The following is a 24,487-nucleotide window of genomic DNA, read 5'->3' as shown; positions in this document are numbered from 1 at the left end:
GAGAAGTGTCTATTCATATTCTTCGCCCAATTTTTGATGGGGTTGTGTTTTTCTTGTAAATTTGTTTAAGTTCCTCATAGATTCTGGATATTAGACCTTTGTCAGTGGGTAGATTGCAGAAATTTTCTCCCATTCTGTAGGTCATCTGTTCGCTCTGATAATAGTTTTTGTTGTTGTTGTTTATTCTGTGCAGAAGCTCTTTAGTTTAATTAGATCCCATTTGTCAATTTTGGCTTTTGTTGCAATTGCTTTTGGCATTTTTGTCATGAAGTCTTTGTCCGTGCCTATGTTCTGAATGTTATTGCTTAGGTTTTTTTTTTTTTTAAGGGTTTTTATAGTTTGGGGTGTCACATTTAAGCCTTTAACCCATCTTGAGTTAATTTTTGTATAAGGTATAAGAAAGGGGTCCAGTTTCAGTTTTCTGCATATGGTTAGCCAGTTTTCCCAGCACCATTTATTTTTATTTTTATTTTTGAGATGGAGTTTCACTCTTGTTGCTGAGACTGGAGTGCAGTGGCACGATCTCGGCTCACTGCAAACTTCATCTCCCAGTTTCAAGCGATTCTCCTGCCTCAGCCTCCCAAGTACCTGGGACTACAGGCACGCACCCCCATGCCTGGCTAATTTTTGTATTTTTAGTAGAGACGGAATTTCACCGTGTTGGCCAGGCTGGTCTCGAACTCCTGACCTCAGGTGATCCACCCACCTTGGCCTCCCAAAGTACTGGGATTACAGGCATGAGCCACTGTGCCCAGCCACCATTTATTAAATAGAGGATCCTTTTCCCGTTGCTTGTTTTTGTCAGGTTTGTCAAAGATCAGATGGTTGTAGATTTGTGGTATTATTTCTGAGGTCTCTGTCCTGTTCCATTGGTCTATATGTCTGTTTTGGTACCAGTACCGTGCTATTTTGATTACTGTAGGCCTCCTGGGTTCAAGCGATCCTCCTGCTTCAGCCTCCCAAGTAGATGGGATTACAGGCGCCCACCACCATGTCCAGCTAATTTTTGTATTTTTAGTAGACTGGGTTTCACCATGTTGGCCAGGCTGGCCTCAAGCTTCTGACTTCAGGTGATCCACTCACCTCGGCCTGCCAAAGTGCTGGCATTAGAGGCGTGAGCCACCATGCCCTGCCCACAAGGGATTTTAGAGCTTTGAGATGTAGCAGAAGTGAAAGATGAGGCTCAGAAAAGAGAGTAAGAGAGAAGAGGGTCTGGCTTGAAGACAGTGACACAGAGACAATAAGGCTCAGCTTTTTATTTCATTTCATTTCATTTTAGACAGAATCTTGCTCTGTTGCCTAGGCTAGAGTCCAGTGGCACACGAACTGCTCATTTCTGCCTCAACCTCACAGGGTCAATTGATCCTCCTACCAGAGCCTCCCCAGTAGCTTGGACCACAGGTGTGTGCCACTATGCCTGGCTACTTTTTGCATTATTTTCATAGAGATAGCATGTCACCATGTTGTCCAGGCTGTCAGCCTTTTCAATAATGTTTTCTACTTGAGAACATCTAAAGTGTATAGAATAGTAGCAAAATTAGTACAACAAACCCTGTGTATCCACTTACAGATTTATATCCTTATCCCTATACTTTGCAATACTTTGAAGCAAACACAGGATCACATATAATCTTATGGGTAAATACTGCACTATGAATGTCTAAAATATAGAGCCTCTTTTAAATAGTAAGCTCATAATATCATTATCAGAAATCATAACTAGTGAATACTTATGAGATTTCTTCTAGTTCAATGGACTTTATTTTTAGAAGTGTTTATGTAGAAGTAAGGAAAATTATTAGGCAGTTATTTTCATTGATATACATGCTCTTCAGTGCTTTAGTATCTTATTCTTTTTTCTCCTTTTGTAGTTGAAGAAACTGCCTTACTGTTCTGTTGAAAGTCTCACAGTCTGGAGTATTTTACATGGTCATTAGTTCCCATCACCTCTTGTAATTGTGGCCCTTCCTGAGAAACACGACAAAAGAGCGTAGCTTGAATTTGAGTAAAGGAGGATCCAGGGTCACGGGATCAGCCAGTGCCCTGGGACCTGCCTCCCCCTGGAGCTGCTTCTGGAGCCAAAGGGAAAGAAGCAGACACAAGCTTGTGAAGTGCTTGCAGGAGACAGAACGCTGAGGAGGCACCAGCTTCTCACTTTCCCTCCTTCCTGGAGAATCACACCTTCTGCAGGGAGTCTCCCCACACAGATCCCTCCCTGCACCATGGCCTTTGCAGCCTCTCTGGCTGAGCTCCAAGCAGAGGCCAGCTGCCCCATGTGCCTGGATTACATGAAGGACCCAGTCACCACTCACTGTGGGCACAACTTCTGTCGCTCCTGCATCCACCAGTGCTGGGAAGACTTACAGGATGTCCTCCCCTGTCCTGTCTGCCTCCGTCACTGCCCTGATGAGAACCTCAGGAGCAAACACCCAGTTGCGCCACATGACTGATATGGTTCAGCAGCTTCTCACCGTGACGAGCAAGAGGGAATGGCAGGAAGAGGAGCCCCTCTGTGAGAAGCACAGTCAGGGTCTAGTCCTGCTCTGTGAGAAGGACCTGGAGCTATTGTGTCCCCAGTGCAAGGTCTCCTCTGACCATCAGGATCATCCCTTGTTGCCCATTGAGCAAGCTGCAGCTACACACAGAAGGAAGCTCAAAAGCTACATTAAGCCACTAAAGAAGGAAACTGAACATGCCAAGATGCGGTGTGAAGTCCCAATTTTGAGATCACTTAATGTGAAAAGGAAGATGGCAACATGGAGGAAGGAATTACAATTTGAATTTAAAGAAATTAAGTCTTTCTTGGTAAAGGAACGAGCTGTAATTCATGCCAGGCTACTTATTGAAGAGAAGGATGCTAAAGAAAAACTCACTGAAAACCAAAGACAAATTTCAGGCCACTTATCCACACTACAGAATCTGTTTTTTTTTTTTTTTTTTTTTTTGAGACGGAGTCTCGCTATGTCGCCCAGGCTGGAGTGCAGTGGCTCAATCTTGGCTCACTGCAAGCTCCGCCTCCAGGGTTCACGCCATTCTCCTGCCTCAGCCTCCCGAGTAGCTGGGACTATAGGCGCCCGCCACCCTGCCCGGCTAATTTTTGGTATTTTTAGTAGAGACGGGGTTTCACTGTGTTAGCCAGGCTGGTCTCGATCTCCTGACCTCATGATCTGCCCGCCTCTGCCTCCCAAAGTGCTTGGATTACAGGCGTGAGCCACCGCGCCCAGCCTACAGAATCTCTTAAATGAAGTAACAGAGAAGAGTTTTCAGGCAGACCTGGATATGCTGACAGGTATTGAGAACAGCTACAACACATATGACCACCTGAAAACCCCTGCAGTCTTCTCATAGGAATCAAGGAAGGAGAGTTTGAGTCTCTCTCCACCTTATTTTGGCCTGAAAAAAATGATGAGCCCATTTCAGGAAGATTTGACACTAGATCCAGAAACAGCCCACCCTAGTCTTATTATCTCAAGAGACAGAAAGTGTGATATTTAGAATGATGAACCCACACTTTACTGATAATCTTCAGTCATTTAGTTTTTACCCAGCTGTCTGAAGCTGTGAGGGATTTGATGCTGGGAGACACTTTTGGCAAGTAGAAGTGAGAGCAAAGGTACATGGTTCCTTGGTGTGTGTAAAGAAATGTTTCCCAGAGATGGTCTTACATCACCAACTCCACAGATGGGGTGCTGGCAAATTCAGCCATTCCGTAGTTCATGCAGTACAAGGAACACAGAAGTCCTGCAAGTTGGCATTTTTCTGGACTATGAGTTGGGAGAAGTTTCCTTTTATAATTTAAATACCAGATCATATGTGTATACTTTCACTGGTAAGTTTACAGAAAAGCTTATGCCTTATTTCTCTATTGCACCTTCTTCACAAGCTGTTACAATCACATTGTCATAGACCAATGATGAACTACTTAGAGCACCCTTTGTATGTAGCTATATTTTCTTCCTGTGTTCTTGGAGGGCATTTGTAATAAAAGTTCTGATTCCATGTTTATGTTTGACTGCTGATATTATTGGGGGACTCACTCTTCTCTCTTCCCTTCTGCCCTCCCTGGACAAGCTGATGAGAAAGCCTGGGTGCTCCCTCTGTTGGTGTAGGTGGGAGGTTCAGACCTAGCAAGCCTCTGGTAGTGCAGGACCCTTTCAGCAGCCCCACCCATGACCACCATCACAACCCCAAACCAGTCTCCTTTCCCTGCTTTCTCAAGTCACTTTTGCATCAACTCTGTAGACACCCTTCTCTCCTCATAAACCTCATTACAGGAGTAGGAGTCCATTTCATACAATCTTGGATTGTGTGGCATCAGCAGTCTCAACACTGAACCAGTTGTCAGGGAGGGTGCAAACTGACCCCTTCAATGCAAACTATCTATGCAAACTGACCCCTTCAAAGGCCATTGTGAGCAGGATTATCCAGATGTTGGCTGCCACCTTCAGGGAATTGCTGTTCTAGCTTTGCTTTGCTCACTGGCTCTGTGCCACATGATGAGCCTGCACTTTCAGCTCAGCTGCTTTGTGCTGCTTTTACTGAGTTTGGCTGAGACTCTTTGAGAGAATTCTCTGACCTAGGTCAGTAATTTAGATAATATTTTGTTAGTTAAGTATAGGAACATGGACTCAGGTCCCTTTTACTGTCTCCTTGAGTGGTGCATCTCCGTCCAGACATATTGCTGTGTCTTTTATAATTTAAAAAACAGATCCTCTGTGTATAATTCCACTGATAAGTTTACAGAAAAGTTTATGCCTTATTTCTCTATTGAACCTTCTTCACAAGCTGTTACAATCAGTATTGTCCTAGACAATAATCACGTTAAATTATTATGTATTGTCAAAGCATAATCACATTAAAAGGAATAACCCCTAAAATGTATTGAATGTCTCCAAAAAAAAAAAAAAAAGAATAAAAAACAATGGACATGAACGTCAGAGAGACAGGGAATAAAAAGAAAAATAAAACCAAATCACAGATTCAAGGAGAGGAACAACAACAAAAACTGCAACAGAAATTCCTAATTTGCAATTACCAGTTGAATATGCAAAATTCACCAAAAGAATCTGTACAACACAAAAGCTTAAAAGGTGCTAATTGACTTTTCTGTTTCTGTAACCTGGATGGTGACTGAACTTCAACATCTGTTGAAATGCATCAATTGGAAAACCTTCGCAGACTTAATCCTTTGCCTCCAATTAGGTAACCAGGGATCCCTCTGATTTTAAATGAAGAGCCCTCTATTACCTTAGTGACATTACTAATCATAAAATGAAGGTAAAAGAGGTATCCCTTATCTTAACTATAAGAATCACTGCCTTTCCTAAATTTTCCATGGTGTGTTTCTAGATTCTAACATAAGCTGTGACTGATGTAAGTTCAGGGGGAACTCTAATTTGTGACCAATTGTTCGTGTGTCTCACCTCCAAACTGGTGCCTGTTCTATAGAGCACATAGGGGAAAAATTGTATCCTGTGCCATATACGGGCTCATTTGGTGGTCACTTGTGTGAAGCAAGAAGTCACTATTTGGAGATTGAGCATTAGTTGAAAATTACAATTACTTATGTTAATCCATTTTGTTCTGATTTGAGAGAATGCCTGAGATTTGGTAATCTATAAAGAAGAGAAATTAATTTCTCACCGTTCTGGAAGTTGGGAAGCTCAAGATCAAGGCAGTGACAGGTTTGGTGTCAGGTGAGTGCCTGGTCTCTGCTTCCAAGATGGTGCCTTCAATGCTGCAGCCTCTGGAGGGAGAAACGCTGTTCCTGACATGGCTAAAGAGCAGAGGTGGAGCTGCTGAGTGCAGTGGCTCATGCCTGTAATCTCAGCACTTTGGGAGGCCTAGGCAGGCAGATCACTTGAGGCCAGGAGTTGAAGACCAGCTTGGCCAAAATGGCAATTAGGGAAGAGAGAGACCCTCTCATATTGTTTTATATTGTTTTATACTCAGTACCTGTTTTAAGAAAAAACAACAAGGAAGTAAAACCAAAGACAGGCAACCCGAGGCCAGGCCCAAAACCAGGCCTGGGCCTGCCTGGCCTAAACCCAGTAGTTAAAAATCAACTCATAACTTAGAAACTGATGTTATTTATAGATTCCAGACATTGTATAGAAGAACGTTGTGAAACTCCCTGCCCTGTTCTGGTTCTCTCTGACCACCGGTGCATGCAGCCCCTGTCACGTACTGCCTTGCTTGCTCAAATCAATCACGACCCTTTCATGTGAAATCTTTAGTGTGGTGAGCCCTTAAAAGGGATAGAAATTGGGCATTTGGGGAGCTCGGATTTTAAGGCAGTAGCTTGCTGATGCTCCCAGCTGAATAAAGCCCTTCCTTCTACAACTCGGTGTCTGAGAGGTTTTGTCTGTGGCTCGTCCTGCTACAGCAAAACCCTATCTCGACTAAAAGTACAAAACTTAGCTGGGCATGATGGCATGCAGCTGTAGTCTCACCTACTCGGGAGGCTGAAGTGGGAGGATCATTTGAACTCCAGAGGCAGAGATGGCAGAGCCAAGATTGTGTCATTGCACTCCAGCCTGGGTGACAGAGCAAGACTCCATCTCAAAGAAAAGAAAAAGAGAGCAGAGTGGGTGTATATACCCTGGAAAGCTCTTTTTTAGCATGGCATGAATCCATGAGGGGGAGCCCTTGAGACCTAAACCCCTCTCATTAGGTTCCACCTCTCAGTGGAATCACATGGGTGATTGTTTATAATACAAGAGGTTTGTGGAGACAAACATTTAAACAATAGCTATTGAGGCTCACACTCATAAGAGCAGATGGCTAATTAGGACCCTAGAAATATCTTTGCTTTCTGCTGCTGTCTAGGCCTTTGTTACAACAAAGATTCTGATCTTCAGAATTATAGGGAGATAGCTGGGAACAGTATCTCACACCTGTAATGATCGCTTGAGCTCAGGAGCTTGACAACAGCCTGGGCAACATAATGTGACTTTGTTTCAAAAAAAAAAAAAAAAAAAAAAGAGAAAGAAAGAAAAGAAAAAGAAAAAGAAAAAGAATTATGGGGAGAAACCAGTGACCCCTGTGGCTCACCGAAGTGGTCAATTTCAACCAAACTTACAACCAGGGTTCCTAAACTCTGTAACCCTCCAGTGCCCATAGAACTGTGATGGTACTAATAGAAGGTTTTCTGGAGTCAGAAACTTCAAAACATAATAACATGAAAAGGAACAGCCCCTAAAGTATATTGCACGTTTACCAAAAAAAAAAAAGAATAAAAAACAATAGACATGAAAAGTCAGGGAGATGGGGAAGAAAGAGAAAGAAAAATAACACCAAATTCTAGATTCAAGGAGAGGACAAAAAAAAAAGCACCAAAACAAAACAAAACAAAAAAACTGGAGGAAGCTTCCTAATTTGCAATTTCAAGTTGAAAATGCAAAATTTACCAAAAGAATCTAAACAACACAAAAGATTAAAAGGTACTGGTTGACTTTTCTGTCTCTGTAACCTAGATGATGATTGAACCTAAGCATCTGTTGAAATGCATCATTGGAAAACCTTTATAGACTTTATTATTTCCCTCTAATTAGTTTACCAGGGATCCCTCTGATTTTAAATGAAGAATCCTCTATTACCTTAGTGATGTTACTGAACATAAAATGGAGGCAAAGAGGTATTCTTTACCTTAACTATGAGAATCACTGGCTTCCCTAAATTTTCCAGGGTGAGAACACACACTGGGATGAAATATTAAAGAGAAAAGAGAAATACAATAAGTAATAAATACAAAATTAAATTACGTCTTCTGCATTTTCAAATTAGCTTTACAAAATGGGATCCATGGATGTTCCTGACCCCAGTGAGAAAAGATAATATGATTAAATATTAGTTAAAATAGATACTCAAGATTTGAAACCCATGATGCAAGACCTAGGCGTGATTATCTCACCGTTTCTGGGTTCAACCCCAATTTTGTGTGTTCTTATACTTTGAAAGAAGTATGACATCTCAGAGGGAACTGATGACAGCTTTAATGGGATGATCTCTCCCAATGTTATTGACATGACTTACTCCATCCAATCAGGAAATGGTAAATAACTGGCTGCTACAGATTTGACTAGGTTTTTTCAGGCTTATTTCGACAGCTTCCTGGCCATGCTTTCCCTTTGCCTCAAAGGAATGTTATGCATCTCTACCCACCAATCATGGTAATTTGAAAAAATTAGCTGGGCATGGTGACGTGTGCCTGCAATCCTGGCTATTTGGAAGGTTGAGGCTGGAGGATCCCTTGAGCTCAGGCGTTCCAGGTTACAGTGAACCATGACTGCCCACTGCACTACACGGTGACAGAGCAACATCCTGAGTCCAAAAAAATATATGAAATTAAAAAACCCAGCCCGCCAGGCTCGGTAGCTCATGCTTGTAATCCCAGCACTTTGGGAGGCCAAGGTGGGCAGATCACCTGAGGTCGGGAGTTCGAGACCAGCCTGGCCAACACGGTGAAACCGCGTCTCTACTAAAAATACAAAAATTAGCTGGGCGTGGTGCCGGGCGCCTGTAATCTCAGCTACTCCGGAAGCAGAGGCAGAAGAATGGCTTGAACCCGGGAGGCAGAGGTTACAGCGAGTGGAGATCTTGCTATTCCACTCCAGCCTGGGGTACAAGAGCGAAACTCCATCTCTCCATCTCAAATGAACAAACAAACACAACCCAGCCCTTGCCCTTATGTTCCACCCAGCACATGATGTGTCACTTCCGCAGTTCCCACCCCACCATGACCATCCTGCACGAACCCGGTAACCTGGCAGAGCTCAGGTTCTGAGATCTTCACTTTCGACCTCTCCCGGAGCCCACAGAGGGCCCAGCCTCACCCCAGCGCCTCTCATGGGCACCGAATGTGGAGCCGCAGAGTCCTCCACCCTCCAGGGGCGAGTGCCAGCTGCCAGTCAAGGAACTGAACCCTGCTAAAGAGGCTTCTCTTTCCCTGCTCACTTCATCTTCTGCCAGATTCCGATGGCTGAAGAGGGTGTGCCGGCGCCCCTGCCTCTGCAGGACACCCCCATCTCTGCGCCCCCGTCCTCAAGCCCTTAATCTGACTTGGGAGCCCTGGGACTCTGCGCTGGACCTCAGAACTTTTTTCCAGCACCACCAGGCCGACTTCTAACCCTGACTCCCGCAATCCCCCAAAAAGAATCAGAAAAACCAAAGAAAACACCGGGCGTATCTGGTGCTGGAGAGCGTATTTCAAACTGGGACTTCCCAGGGAACTCAGACTCAGAACATTACAGCAGAAAGGCCAGCTGGTGCTTGTGGGGAGACCGAATAACAGAAGACTGAGGCACAGACACCGCAGGGCTACGCCCGGTGGGAAAAACCCGGAGAGCGTCATTAATTTATTTCTCATTGCTCCTAATTAATATTTACTTGTATTCCCATATGTCCACCTAGGTGATGGAGGAGTGTGCGTAATATTTGTTTTAACTTATACAAGGGTGTGAGATGTCCCCCCTGCTATAAATGGAGACCTCTCAGTATTTGAGTTTTGTGGGACTGGTGGAGGGGGGACACTTGGAACTACAGCAGAGTAGGAGAAGAAAAGGGGAGGACTCCAGTTAGGGAGGCCTTCCTGGCTGGAATCAAGTCTGGTGGTGGTGAGGCAGGAAAATAGAGTCTGGAGGCAGAGAACATAAGGCCAATTCACACTTCAGCTATAACAGGAAATATCCTCTCCACAAGGCATAGGCTGTAAATGACTTTGTCATTTTACTTCATTCCCTCCATTTACATAGGGTGTACCCCCAAGTAACCAATGGAATCCTCTAGGGGCTATTTAAACTCCCAACAATTCTGTTAACGGGGCCTTTGAGCCCCTATGCTCAGGCCTGCTCCCACACTGCAGAGGGTACTTTCATTTTCAAGAAAACCCTTCCTTCCTTCCTTCCTTGCTTTGTTTGTGCACTTTGTCCAATTCTTCATTCAAGAAGGCAAGAACCTGGACACCCTCCACCGTTAACAGTGGGTTGTAGGTCTAGGGATGATGTTCCATCCTCCAGCATCTCAGCTCTGTCCACTGTATGAGGCATCTGCGGACCTCAGGAATGATCTTCTGGATCTTCTGGAATTTGCCCTTTATGGGAGCAGCTGCAGGGTTAGGGGTTGGAGGGCTGTCACCTGGCAGCTGTCAAGATCGCCTGGTATGTTCTGTGAATACAAATAAACTTGAAATGCTGTACAAAAATTAAAAAATAAATAAAATAAACCAAAAATACAACTGGGGACATTTCAAGGGACTTGAGGAGCTCCACAAAAGGAAAAGGAACAAAGACCAAATGTATTTCTTATATCCCACACAGAGACTGACAACATATCAGATTCACCACAGGGACTTATTTAAACTACATGCCCATGTTCCCCCAAAGCAAAGTTCTGATACATTCCTCCCGGGTGAGCTGGCTACAATAGGAGCTTTGACGCTGCTCATAGCCCCATTCTCTCTACCACAACTACAGAGCTACCACCTCCAGAAGGAGCAGGGAGGAGCCAGTGAGTTTTTTCCTGGGAGGCTGTCTGCTGCATGAGACTGCCCAGTTGGAGAGCTGCCTGAGAGTGTGAGAATCCAGAAAACACAGTTGAGGACTCTAGAAATAAGCCTCTTAGGGGGCAGACAATATTACAACAGGCTCTTGCAGAAAGAGCCTGGCAAGATTTCTTAGTACAGGGGTCCCCAAACCCTGGCCGCAGACTGGGACCTGATGGTGGCCTGTTAAGAGCTGGGCTACACAGCAGGAGGTGAGCCTAGAGAGTGAGCATTACCACCAGAGCTCCACCTCCTGTAAGATCAGCAATGGTATTAGATTCTCATAGGAGCTCCAACCCTGTTTTGTTTTTTTGGTTTTCTTTTCTTTTCATTGTTTATTTAGTTCTTTGTCTTCAATTGGTTGATCTAAGTTAAAAGGAAGCTTTTAAATTGTAGAGTATTTCATACATCCATAAGAGTAGAGAGAACAGTATGAAGAACCTACGCATAAAAAGAAACCAATTTCTATCATTTGAATTAACAATCTTTGTAACCCCACCAGCTTCTCCTGCCAATGGAGCAAATTCCCAGACATCGTACAATTTCATCTGTATATTTCATCTGTACATTATATTTCATCTTATAATTTCATTATTTATTTCCTAAAATACAATATTTCAATTATAGTGTTACTGTGACTTTTAATAAGCTCTACAGTGTGAATTATAACCACATTTTTCTCCCACCAGTTACAAATAACATTCAGTAAATTAAAACAGCAACTGGAATCCTGTTCTGTTAGGGTGGGGCAGGGAGTGCCCTCAATCTGGCACAGGTAGAGGTGGGTGGCAGAAGAGCAAACCAAACAGCTGAGGTTCCTTGAGAATGCAAACTTCTCACAGAATACAAAGTTCTCAGGAGGCCTAGGTGTCCTGCAGGGCTTCCTGCAGGTGGCTGGGCGACACCTCCAGCAAGTCTGTACAGAAGTCGGGGCAGCTGAGCAGTGATTGTGCATGGCCGGCACCGCCTCTGGACTTCAACTTCTGGGTGAGACCATGGAGGTCGATGATGTTGGAGACCAGGGGCAGCGCCAGGTACCACAGTGGATGGAAGGATGTGCCGTGTGGCAGGGCAGCTGTCCTCTTGAGAGGTGAAGCCAACTGAACTTCCTGGGTCCAGTCGGGACTTGGAGAACTTTTCTGTCTAGCTGAAGGATTGTAAACACACCAATCAGCACTCTGTAAAAACACACCAATCAGCACTCTGTGTCTAGCTAAAGGTTTGTAAACGGACCAATCAGCGCTCTGTAAAATGGACCAGTCAGTAGGATGTGGGCAGGGCCAAATAAGGGAATAAAAGCTGGCCACCCTAGCCAGTAGCGGCAACCACTCGGGTCCCCTTCCACACTGTGGGAGCTTTGTTCTTTTGCTCTTCACAGTAAATCTTGCTGTGCTCACTCTGGGTCCGCACTACCTTTATGAGCTGTAACACTCACCACAAGGATCTGCAGCTTCATTCTTGAAGTCAGCAAGACCACGAACCCACCGGGAGGAACAAACAACTCTGAACGTGCCACCTTTAAGAGCTGTAACACTCACTGCGAAAGTCTGCAGCTTCACTCCTGAAGTCAGCGAGACCATGAACCCACCAGAAGGAAGAAACTCCGGACACATCTGAACATTGCAAGGAACACACTCCGGACACACCATCTTTAAGAACTATAACACTCACCGCGAAGAAGGTCCGTGACTTCATTCTTGAAGTCAGCGAGACCAAGAACCCACCGGAAGGAACCAATTCCGGACACGCTTTTCTCACTGGACCCAGCGCCTGGAAAGCCATCCCTGCAGGGTGGGCTAAGCGAGCACTGCGTTCCTGGCACAGGGCTTCAGGTCTCCCTAACAGACCTTACGCTGAACCGCAGCCGCTTCGACAGTCTCTTTGCAGAGATCCAGCGACGACTATACTTGTCCAACAGCGGTGGCTTCACCAATCCTGGGAGAAGCTAATCGTTTTCTCCCCGTGCCCTGTCAGCCGCTCATGCAGCCCAGGGAGGAATTTTAGTAGCAACACTCCGGTTGTCACACCACTGAAATTACCAAGCAACTCCAACTCAGAAGGACCACCAGGAAAAGGCAGGAAGATAATCACCATCAGGTCCCAGCCCCTTTTTGTGACAAGGACTAGAGGGTTTGGCTCTGCAGTGGGCTGGCTCCCGCTGGGCTCACCTGTCCTATAGAGCAGGCTGCTTCAAGGAAGAAGCTCACAGGGGATGTCTGACCTCTGAAAAAGCAAGTATAAAATGTTTTAAATAAGCCAAAACTAAACTAATAGTTATGTTAACTAAAAATACATGAATGCTACCGAAGATAGTTGAATGCTACCGAAGATAGTTGAATATTAGAGGAAGAGATTAAACTCTGATTTTGAGCACTTTATACTCTATTTGGAAAATGAATAAGATGCAGTTCTGAAACCCGAAAATACAAAGGATAGGATATGATACACACATTAGATGAAAACAAAACTTTCAGACCATATTTTCTTATTAAAAGCTCTAATAAGTGGGATAGCAAACTCTTCACTCAAATAGACAACCAGTAACTGATATAAGTGTATGTATCAATAACATGTTTTAAGATAAAACCTTCATGAGCTTTTGCATTTTAACTACGGAATGATGATTCTAGACTTCTGCCACAACATTATAGTCGACAAAAGATTCTTCATTTTACATAGATTTCGCTCTAGATCCTGAAACAGCATGTCATAATCTTGTATATCTGAAGACAGAATACAGTGAGATTTGGAAAGATACCACAAAAACTCATGATCCAAAAAGATTAAGACTGGTATTACTAGGAGGAAGGGAAAGAAGACAAAATCAAACGGGATAGATAGAACAGTGTTGTTTGTTAGAATTGTATTCTGAGGAGATGGAAAAAGACACCATCACAATAGGATTCATGCTTTAGTATTCAGCTACAGAAATGTAATAACTTTGCTGAAGTCATTACAGTAGGTAGAGTGGCAATCGTTCTGCTATTAAAAGTAAAACCCAGTAATATTAGGATTTTTCTGGACAATGAAGTGGGTGACGTTTAATCTTATAACTTGAATGCCAGATCTCATATTTTTTCTTCAAGTGATATTTTTATGAAACTACTTAGGCTGTGTTTCACACTGGGTATGATTTCTAACCTCTTATAATCTGTACAGTGATAGATTATGAAGGATGAATTATTTGAAAATGATTTTGTATTTTTATTTAGGAGAGGAGCTCCACAATTCTGAATTCTGTGTTTACCTCTTATAAGCAGAGGAAAGGTTTTTTTCTTCCATTATTTTAGCAGCTGTCAATAAAATAGTATTAGAAATGCATACTCTTCAGAGATGTAATGGGAGTAAATTGTAAAGTATTTTTGATATTCTAAGATGAAAGATGGTATTACTTGTATAGTCATTAATTCAATGCGTTCCACATTATGAATTAAAATTCCACATTATGAATTTTATAAAAATTATGTCAAAAGAAAAAAATTATATAGAAAGTTATTAGTTCAGTCCAGCAACAAAAGTCTTTTATAAAAACGAAAATCTCCTGGGTCATGCCATCCTATGTGAAATTCCTGTTAAACAGAGGCATGATTTATTCTAGTGACCTTGCTATTTCTCCATTACTGTAATATGTCTAATATTAGACATTTCAAATTAAAATTCTATTAGGTAAACTGAGAATTTAGGTCTCTCGCACCACCCAGGCACATACTCTCTTTCCCCACAAATATCCAAATATGGTAATGTAATTGGATTAATATGTTCATACGACTATATAATTGTTCACAGCTGAGCCACTTAGGTGCTATAATTTGATACACAAATTTTGTTTTATTGTGATTAAAATTGCCTGATATCTTACTTGCTGCACTTTCTGTTTCTCTTTCAGCCCCATATCTGCTAATCTCTAAAGTTCCTCTCTAAACTCGACATGTAATTTGTTGATTATATTCATTTTCTTTGTAGTGCTCGATCTCCTGAAGCCCTCTGTCATCTTAGCATGAACTGAAATTTGGTGATATGATGCACAGCTGTCCTCTGAGGCCTTTCATGTTTCCCTTACCCTAAGAATTATCTTTTATCTTCTGTCTTATGTCCAGAGGTTTTAAGTCTATTGTTGTCTGAGTCCCTTGTTTTCCTTCTTAGTTTTCTTCCCTTCTTTTGGTGAGCGTATCACCAGGTAGTTCCCTGAAAAAGGGGACTTGGAAGATGTGCCAGTCATTTTCCTTGTGCTGTGAGATGTGGGAATGTGTGCTAGGCCCAGCATTACATCTGGAGGAGGGTGAAGAACATTTGTGAAGGCCACACATACCTGAGACCAGAGTTCAGAGTGCCTGCCCATGACTCATGCTCAATCAGAATATTGGAAAACATGGGCTTCCCCAACTCCCAAAACCACACTAAGAGGAGTTGAGTAAAAATAACAGTAGAATCCAGTTTGAGAAATGAAAGACAGCACTAGGGGAGTGTGAAGCCTTTAATGCACTAAGGCTAACCATAGCAATAACAAACTTCAAACTCTGCCTAACTCCTGGCTCGATTAATACAAACACACCCTCACTACGGGCCTAGCAGAAGGGAAACAAGTTCATCTCTGCTATTGGTTGAATTGTGTTCTGCCAAAAACATCTATTGAAGTGCTAACCCCAGTACTTCAGATGTGACCTCATTTGGAAATTAGGTCTTTACCAAGGTAATCTGTTAAGGCTGGGGGCGGTGGCTCACGCCTGTAATTCCAGCACTTTGGGAGGCTGAGGCAGGTGGATCACCAGAGGTCAGGAAATTGAGACCAACCTGGCCAACATGGTGAAACCCCACCTCTAGTAAAAATACACAGATTAGCTGGGCATGGTGGTGGGCGCCTGCAATCCCAGCTACTCGGGAGGCTGAGGCAGGAGAATCGTTTGAACTTGGGAGGCGGAGGTTGCAGTGAGCCGAGATTGTGCCATTGTACTCCAGCCTGGGCAACAACAGTGAAACTCCATCTCAAAAAAAAAACAAAAAGGTAATCAGTTCAAATGAGGCCATTAGGGTGGGCCTTAATCCAATATGACTGCTGTCCTTATAAAAAGACGAAATTTTTTGACACAAAGATATGCACAGAGGAAGGTTATGTGAGGAAACATGGGGAGAATGCCACTGGAGTGATGCATCTACTAGCCAAGGAATGACAAATTGGCAGCAACCCACCAGAGCCTGGAGGCATGGAAGAAATTTTGTGTCACAGCCCTCAGAAAGAACCAATCCTGCCAACACCCATATTTTGGACTCGGCCTCCAGAACTGTGAGACAATAAATTTCCTGTTATGTAAACCATCCAGTTTGTGATACCTTATTAGGGTATTCCCTCCAAAACTAATATAATCTACAAGTATAAAAATGTTTACCTTAGTATGTATTTTTCTATATATGTCTGGTTTTTACCAAAAACAAAAAAAAACAAGGCATACAAAAAAAAATGTAAAAGGAAAATAAACCACACTCTGAAGAGACAAAATGAACATCGGAACCATACTAAGCTATGACACACATGTAGGAACTCTCATGCAAAAAAATGAAAATAATTGTAATTGATATGTTAAAGGCTTTAGTGGAAAATAAAGACAACATGCGGGATCAGATAGATAATTTTATCAGAGTTGGAAACTATAAAATCAAATGGAAAAGCTGGGCACGGTGGCTCACGCCTGTAATCCTAGCACTTTGGGAGGCTGAGGCAGGCAGATCACTTGAGGTCAGGAGTTCCAAACTAGGCTGACCAACATGGTGAAACCCTGTCTGTACTAAAAATACAAAAAAAAATTTGCCCGGTGTGGTGGCGGGTGCCTGTAATCCCAGCTACTCTGGAGGCTGAGGGAGGAGAATTACTTGAACCCGAGAGGTGGAGGTTGCAGTGAGCTGAGATCGTGCCACTGCATTCCAGCCTCGGTGAGCAAGTGAGACTCTGTCTCAAAAAAAAAAAAAAAAAAAATCAAATGGAAATGCTAGCAATGAAAACCACAGAAAAGAGTTGAAGATGCCTTCAATGGGCTCATTAGTACCCTCAACACACTGAGGGAAATAATCAGTGAACTTGAAGATAGATAAACAAACTACCCAAACTGAAATATAAAGTGAAAAGAACAAAAAACAAAAACTAAGAACTGTGGGACAGTATCAAACAGTGTCATTTATGGATACTTGGAATCTCAGAAAGAAGAAATCTCATCACTAGGAAATGAAGGCAAAAATAAATAAAAATTTAAAAAGAAAAACCGAGGAGATATTCAAAAAAATCATGGCCAAGAATTTAGTTACAGACACTAAAACTCCAGAACCAAGAAGCCCAGAGCATACCAAGCATGATGACTATCAAAACACACAAACCAAAACAAGAAAAAAATGACAACATATCTCCAAACATATCAATATATCAATCAAATTCAAACTGCTGAAAATTAAAATCAAAAACACAATTTTGAAGGCAGCCCAAGTAAAAAACTACATTACTGCCTTGCATACATTAACTATGGGAATATGTTCTGAGAAGTACATCATGGGATGATTTCATCATTCTGTGAACATCATAGAGTATGTGTACACAAACCTAGATAGTAATTTTGTAGCTTATTATGCCTGTAAGCTATATGGTACAGCCGAATGCTCCTAGGCTAGTAAACCTGTACAGCAAGTTACTGTGCTGAATACTATAGAAATTGTAACACAAAGGCAACTATTTTTGTATCTAGGTATACGTAACCACAGAAAATTTCCATAAAAATGCAGGTTTATAATCTTATAGGACCACTGTCATGTATGTGGTCAGTGGTTGAAACACTGTTATGCAGTGCATGACCACTGACAAAGGAAGGAGGATAAGAATTACAACAGACCTCTCATCAGAAAATGTGAAATCCAGGACACAATAGTTACTTCTGTAAATAAAAAAAATCTTGCCAACTCACAATTCTATAACCGATTAGCACATTTCTCAAAAGCAATGGAGAAATACTTAGAAAAATAAAATGGAGGGAATTTGTTGCCATCAAGCAGACACTAAGAGGAATGTTAAAGTACTTCAGGCCAAAGGAATATTATAGATGTCAGAAACTTGTGTTTACACAAAGAAATAAAGTGCATAAAATAAAGGTAATTGCTCTAAAAGATAACTAGCTGTTTAAAACAATAATAAGTGTTTTTCCAGCATATGTAAAAGTATTGTATGAATACAAGACCACAAAGAATCAGTGAGAATTGGGAATACACTATTACAAGGTTCTTATACTGAAAAGGAAACAGTATAATTTCATTTAAAGGAGGCCTCAAATTTTTTTAAAATGTATACTGTAAACCCCTGGGAGAACCACTAAAAAATGTTTTTAAAAGATGTATACAATAAGGCCAGGCACGGTGGCTCATGCCTATAATCCCAGCACTTTGGGAGGCTGAGGTGGGTGGATGACGAGGTCAAGAGCGAGATCATCCTGGCCAACATGGTGAAACCCAGTTTCTATTAAAAGTACAAAAATTAGGCTGGATGTGGTGACTCATGCCTGTAATCCCAGCACTTTGGGCAGCCGAGGCAGACAGATCATGAGGTCAAGAGATCAAGACCATCCTGGCCAACATGGTGAAACCTCGTCTCTACTAAAAATACAAAAATTAGCTGGGCATGGTGGCATGCGCCTGTAGTCCCAGCTACTTGGGAGGCTGAGGCAGGAGAATCGTTTGAACCTGGGAGGTGGAGGTTGCAGCGAGCCGAGATTGCACCACTGCACTCCAGCCTGGTGACAGAGCGAGACTCCAACTCAAAAAAAAAAAAAAAAAAAAAAAAATTAGCCGGGCATGGTGGCATGTGCCTGTAGTCCCAGCTACTCAGGAGGCTGAGGCAGGAGAATCGCTTGAACTCGGGAGGCGGAAGTTGCAATGAGTCGATATTGTGCTACTGCACTCCAGCCTGGTGACACAGTGAGACTCTGTCTCAAAAAATAAATAAATAAAATAAAAAGTTAATAGAAGAGATTAAAATGTAATCATAAAACATGCTTGATGAAACCCAGAGAAGCAAGGCATGGTGATGTGCACCTGTGGTCCCAGCTGTCCTGGAGGCTGAGGCAGGAGGATCTCCTGAGCCCAGGAGTTTGGGGATGCAGTGGGCTATGATTGTGCCTGTGAATAGCTATTGAATGCTAGCCTGGACAATATAGCCAGACCCTGTCTTAATCCTAGCACTTTTGAAGTCCAAGGTGGGCGGATCACTTGGGGCCAGGAGTTTTGAATCCAACCTGGGCAACATTAGTTAAGATCTTGTCTCCAATAAAAACAAAAAACAGAGAAGTCAAAATCAGCCTTCTTTTCAAGTTTCTGAGTCACTCACCAAGATAAACCACATCATAGGCTATGAAACATACCTTCACACATTTAAAGAATAGAAATAATACAAAATTAAAGTTGATATTGTAGAAAAATCTCTGAGAAATCCACAAACATGTGAAAATTAGTACCCTTCTAAATACCCCTTAGGTCAAAGAGTAAGTCTCAGGAAAATTAAATATTTGGAGCAAAATACAAATACAAATACAAATACAATATTTCAATGTTGGTGTAACATAGCTAAAGCAGTATTTACAGGGAAATTTATAGCATTAAATTTATAACATATTAGAAAAGAAGATCTAAAATCAGCAACTTAACCCTTTACCTTAAGAAACTAGACAGAACAAAAGCAAATGTAAAGCTTTTCAATGTAAAGCATGCAGAAGGACAAAAATAAAAATTAGAGCAGAAATCAATAAAATTGAAATTGGAAACAAGACAGAAAATCAACAAAACCAAAGCTGATTCTTTGAAAAGATAAAGTTAGAGGCAATATATTGATAACTGCCACAAACTGTCCAACCTAGTATGGGATTTCAAATGCATGCTCTTTTCAGTATCTCAGTGCCTTAGTTTCGGCAATGAGTAAGGGATAGAACAATTAGGAAGAAGGCTGATTATGTAGGGGAAATGGGGAAAAGAATATTATAGTGATGATTTCTTGGGGCATAAGGTTGGTAGTGGAATATTAAGTAGCCAGAAACTGGCAAGCGGAGTGCAGAGTAGGGATGCTGGAAATACACAATTATATTTTTCGTTTATGAAACTCTTATCACTTACAAGAACGATTCTGTCTTTAAACTATGATTGTTTTCTTGTCCAAGGAAGCCACTGTATTTACAGATCCTCAAATATTTCAGTCAATCCATGTATCTCTAATAGCACATTTCACCCCAATGTCATCCTATTTTTGATGTCTACTATAATTCATTATTGTAATTTAACGAGATGTGTAATTTTCTCTGGATTGGTGTAAGATTAAGATAACTGGCCAGGTGTGGTGGCTCACGGCTATAATTCCAGCAATTTGGAGGCTGAGGCAGGTGGATCACTTGAGGTCAGGAGTTCAAGACCAGCCTGACCAACATGGTGAAACCCTGTCTCTACTAAAAAATACAAAAGTTGACCATGTGTGGTGGCATGCGTCTGTAATTCCAGCTACTTGGGAGGCTGAGGTGCGAGAATTGCTTGAACCCAGGAGGCAGAGGCTGCAGTTAGCAGAGATCACGCCACTGCACTCCAGCCTGGGCGACAGAGCTAGACTCCATCTCAAAAAAATAAAAATAACTGAAGCATTACAATAGTACTTGGAGCTTAAATTTATCCATTATAATGCCAGCTGACCTTGGGTACGAGTTCCTGACCAAATTTGTGTAGCTGACTAAATGTCATGCTTATAGAACATTTGTTTATGTTAATGTATTTCATAATACATTGTAGATATCATAACTATATATTTCTCAATTTAAAAGATTAAAATACGTAAGAGTAAATTGTTTCAAAACTATAATTTCAGACCCTGAAAAACTTCTGATTAAATATCAGGATAGACTAAAGACATTTTCAGAGGTCAGGTGTGGTGGCTCATGCCTGTAATCCCAGCACTTTGGGAAGCTGAGGCGGGTGGATCACAAGGTCAGGAGATCGAGACCATCCTGGCTAACATGATGAAACCCTGACTCTACTGAAAATACAAAAAAATTAGCCAGGTGTGGTGGTGGGCACCTGTAGTCCCAGCTACTCGGGAGGCTGAGGCAGGAGAATGGCGTGAACCTGGGAGCCAGAGCTTGCAGTGAGCCAAGATCACGCCACTGCACTCGAGCCTGGGCGACAGAGCAAGACTCTGTCTCAAAAAAAAAAAAAAAAAAAAAAGACATTTTCAGATACAAAGGTATCAAAAGGTATCAAAAACTTTATTTCCCATGAACCTTACTAGAAAGCTACTGAAGGATGTGCTCCAATTAAACAAGAAACCAACTTCCAAATGGAAAAACATAAAAACAGGTAAAACAATTCAAGAGATGCTAAGAATATCTCCAAGATACCTGAGCAGCTGGCTTAGTGAACAAATGTGCCTGTGTTGCAGATTAGAGGGCTCCTTGAGAGTATTCTGCAAGATGAAAATGGCATAAAGCCAGATGCCTTAAAATGAATTCAGGCAATCAGACAAGTGCAGGGGACAGTTTGGAAATGAATTAAGAGTAAGAACATGGAGCTCTTTCCTTTTGCAGCCATCACTGAAGTGGGAGCAGCCAAAATGAAGTTCAATCCCTTTGTGACTTCTGACAGAAGCAAGAACCACAAAAGTCATTTCAGTGCACCTTCCCACATTCGCAGGAAGATTTTGTCTTCCTCTCTTTCCAAAGAGCTGAGACAGAAGTACGAAGTACGACGTTTGATCCATGCCCATCCAAAAGGATGATGAAGTTCAGGTTGTACGAGGACACTATAAAGGTCAGCAACTTGGCAAAGTAGTTCAGGTTTACAGGAAAGAAATATGTCATCTACATTGAACAGGTGCAGTGGGAAAAGGCTAATGGCACAACTGTCCATGTAGGCATTCACCCCAATAAGGTAGTTATCACTAGGCTAAAACTGGACAAAGACTGCAAAAAGATCCTTGAAAAGGAAGCCAAATCTCGCCAAGTAGGAAAAGAAAAGGGCAAATACAAGGAAGAAACAATTGAGAAGATGCAGGAATAAAGTAATCTTATATACAAGCTTTGGTTAAAACTTGAAAAAAAAAAGAATAAGAACATGGAAAACAAAGCATATTGAAAATGAGATTATTTACTACAGGAAACGTTTATAGAAAAAACAAAATGGCAGCCGGGCACGGTGGCTCACGCCTGTAATCCCAGCACTTTGGGAGGCCAAGGCAGGCGGATCATGAGGTCAGGAGATCGAGACCATCCTGGCTAACACGGTGAAACCCTGTCTCTACTAAAAATACAAAAAATTAGCCGGGCGTGGTGGCGGCCGCCTGTAATCCCAGCTATTCGGGAGGCTGAGGCAGGAGAATGGCGTGAACCTGGGAGGCGGAGCTGGTAGTGAGCCGGGGTGGAGCCACTGCATTCCAGCCTGGGCGACAGAGCGTTAAAAAAAACCACAAAAAAACAGAAAACAAAATGGCAATTACTATACAATACACGGCTCAGAAATGAATGTTACTGAAATAGTCAAATAAATGTGAGAAAATATTCTAAAACAAAAATGGTAAATTCTATTCTATTTCAATGGTATTGAAATAATCAAAATAAATGTGAGAAAATATCCTAAAACAAAAATGATAAATTCTATTAGAAGGGCCACTGGGTGAAGGCTGTTCCAAATTCTTATCTTCCAAAGTGGGATATGATAATACTTCAAACTAAAAAATCCAAAAGTATTATTAGAATGTGATTTCGTGACTATAAAAGAGCTGAAAAGTTCAAAGTGGCTGCCTCTGAAAAGCTGGCAGGGGTAGTCATAAAGGAATATTTGTAAATTAATTTTATAAACAAATAATTGAAACTTTAAACCTAGATTTTTAAAAATTGTGCTTTTGGGCTGGGTGCAGTGACTCACATCTGTAATCCCAGCACTTTGGGAGGCCGAGGTGGGCAGAACACCCGAGGTCGGGAGTTCGAGACCAGATTGGCCAACATGGTGAAACTCCGTCTCTACTAAAAACACAAAAATTAGCCAGGTGTGGTGGTGGGAGACTATAATCCTGGCTACACGGGAGGCTGAAGCACGAGAATCGCTTCAACCCAGGAGGCAGAGTTTGCAGTGAGCCAAGATTGCGCCATTGTACTCCAGCCTGGGCAACAGAGTGAGACTCCATCTCAAAAAAAAAAGAAGATAGAAAAATGATCTAGCTTACACAGGAAGAAATACCGATGTCTCTACTTGCCCATGACATGACTATCTCTGCAGAAAATCCAATGGAATCTACATAAAAGCTCCTAGAAGTAAGTTTAGCAAGCTTATAGGAAATAAGATTAATACACGAAAATCAATTTTCCATATTCTAGTAATGAAGAATTAGAATTGAAATAATCAACATAAAAATATCAAATGCTTAAGGACAAATCTGACAAAAGATGTTAAACACATGTACATTGAAAACTACAAATTTCCGACAAGTTAATGACATAAAAATTGATGGAACAGACTAGATTCACTGTCTCAGTTATGTCTACTGGCTGACATGTTAAGATGTCAGTTTTCTCCACATTAATCTAAAAAGATACAACATAATCCCATCAAAAGCTCACCAGTCTTTTTTGTTGACACAAGTTTTTCCAAATGTTACATATCTGTGATCTACTGAACGATATTAATCTCTGAATTAACAGAATAAACCTAAAGAGGAAAACATGGAACTAAGTTAATAAGGATTCTGAGCCTAGAGATCAGTTCCCAAAGTGAAGTGAAGGACAGTAGCTGAACAGCACTAGAGGGTACTCTGTGGGAACAGAACAGATTATCTACTGGTGGTGTGTATACGTGTCTGTGGTAGAGGAGGATGTAAGAGTGCCATCTCATTTTCTTTCCTTTCTTTTTGTTTTTGAGATGGAGTTTCGCTCGTCATCCAGGCTAGAGTGCAATGGCCCAATCTCAGCTCACTGCAACCTCCGCCTCCCGGGTTCAAGAGATTCTCCTGCCTCAGCCTCCTGAGTAGCTGGGATTACAGGCATGTGCCACTATGTGTGGTTTTTTTTTTTCAGACGGAGTCTCACTCTGTTGCCCAGGCTGGAGTGCAGTGGCGCGATCTCGGCTTACTGCAAACTCCACCTCCCGGGTTCACGCCATTCTCCTGCCTCAGCCTCCCAAGTAGCTGGGACTACAGGTGCCCAACACCACACCCGACTAATTTTTGTTGTATTTTTAGTAGAGACAGGGTTTCACTGTTAGCCAGGATGGTCTTGATCTCCTGACCTCATGATCCGCCTGCCTCGGCCTCTCAACAATTTTTTCGTATTTTTAGTAGAGACAGGTTTCACCATTTTGGCCAGTCTGGTCTCGAACTCCTGACCTCAGGTTATCTGCCCACCTCGGCCTCCCAAAGTGCTAGGATTACAGGCGTGAACCAACGCACCCAACCGACATCTCATTTTCTATAGGACTAAGGCAGTACTGACAAAGATGCACAGAATAAAAAATAAAGTTACTTAGGAATACTGAGGTAAACAGATGAAAGGGAAAAGTGGCACTGGGCATGGTGGTTAATGCCTGTAATCCCAGTGCTTTGGGAGGCTGAAGCAGGAGAACTGCTGGAGGCCACAAGTTCAAGACCAGCCTGGGCAAAACAGAAAAAAAAAAATTGATAGTGGCTATCTTTACCTACCAGGTAGTCCAAGAGTAATGATGAATGCCTTTAATAAAGACTTAATCTTGGCCGAGTGCAGTGGCTCACGCCTGTAATCCCAGCACTTTGGGAGGCCAAGGCAGGCGGATCACCTGAGGTTGGGAGTTCGAGACCAGCCTGACCAACATGGAGAAACCACGTCTCTACTAAAAATACAAAATTAGTCAGGCATGGTGGTGCATGCCTATAATCCCAGCTACTCGGGAGGCTGAGGCAGGAGAATCACTTGAACCCAAGGGGCA

At 42.2% G+C, this 24,487-nt stretch overlaps 3 pseudogenes, besides 3 other annotated features; all 3 read left to right on the top strand.

The window, feature by feature from the left end:
- On the top strand, positions 2,223–2,880 carry LOC391710 (tripartite motif-containing 75 pseudogene; annotated as a pseudogene).
- Positions 5,691–5,740: an enhancer, noted in NCBI's record as "active region_22110". NCBI's record gives its function as "activates an Ori minimal core promoter by ATAC-STARR-seq in GM12878 lymphoblastoid cells {active_cell/tissue: GM12878}" and the evidence as "EXISTENCE:reporter gene assay evidence [ECO:0000049][PMID:35858748]".
- Positions 5,781–6,090: an enhancer, noted in NCBI's record as "active region_22109". NCBI's record gives its function as "activates an Ori minimal core promoter by ATAC-STARR-seq in GM12878 lymphoblastoid cells {active_cell/tissue: GM12878}" and the evidence as "EXISTENCE:reporter gene assay evidence [ECO:0000049][PMID:35858748]".
- Positions 6,401–6,530: an enhancer, noted in NCBI's record as "active region_22108". NCBI's record gives its function as "activates an Ori minimal core promoter by ATAC-STARR-seq in GM12878 lymphoblastoid cells {active_cell/tissue: GM12878}" and the evidence as "EXISTENCE:reporter gene assay evidence [ECO:0000049][PMID:35858748]".
- FAM218BP (family with sequence similarity 218 member B, pseudogene) lies at positions 11,515–14,407 on the top strand (annotated as a pseudogene).
- Positions 21,108–21,636, top strand: RPL26P16 (ribosomal protein L26 pseudogene 16; annotated as a pseudogene).

Source organism: Homo sapiens, chromosome 4 (genome assembly GCF_000001405.40).
Source record: "Homo sapiens chromosome 4, GRCh38.p14 Primary Assembly".
Lineage (NCBI taxonomy): Eukaryota > Metazoa > Chordata > Mammalia > Primates > Hominidae > Homo > Homo sapiens.
The sequence above is the reverse complement of the archived record's forward strand: the minus strand, read 5'-3'. Positions and strand labels throughout refer to the sequence as shown.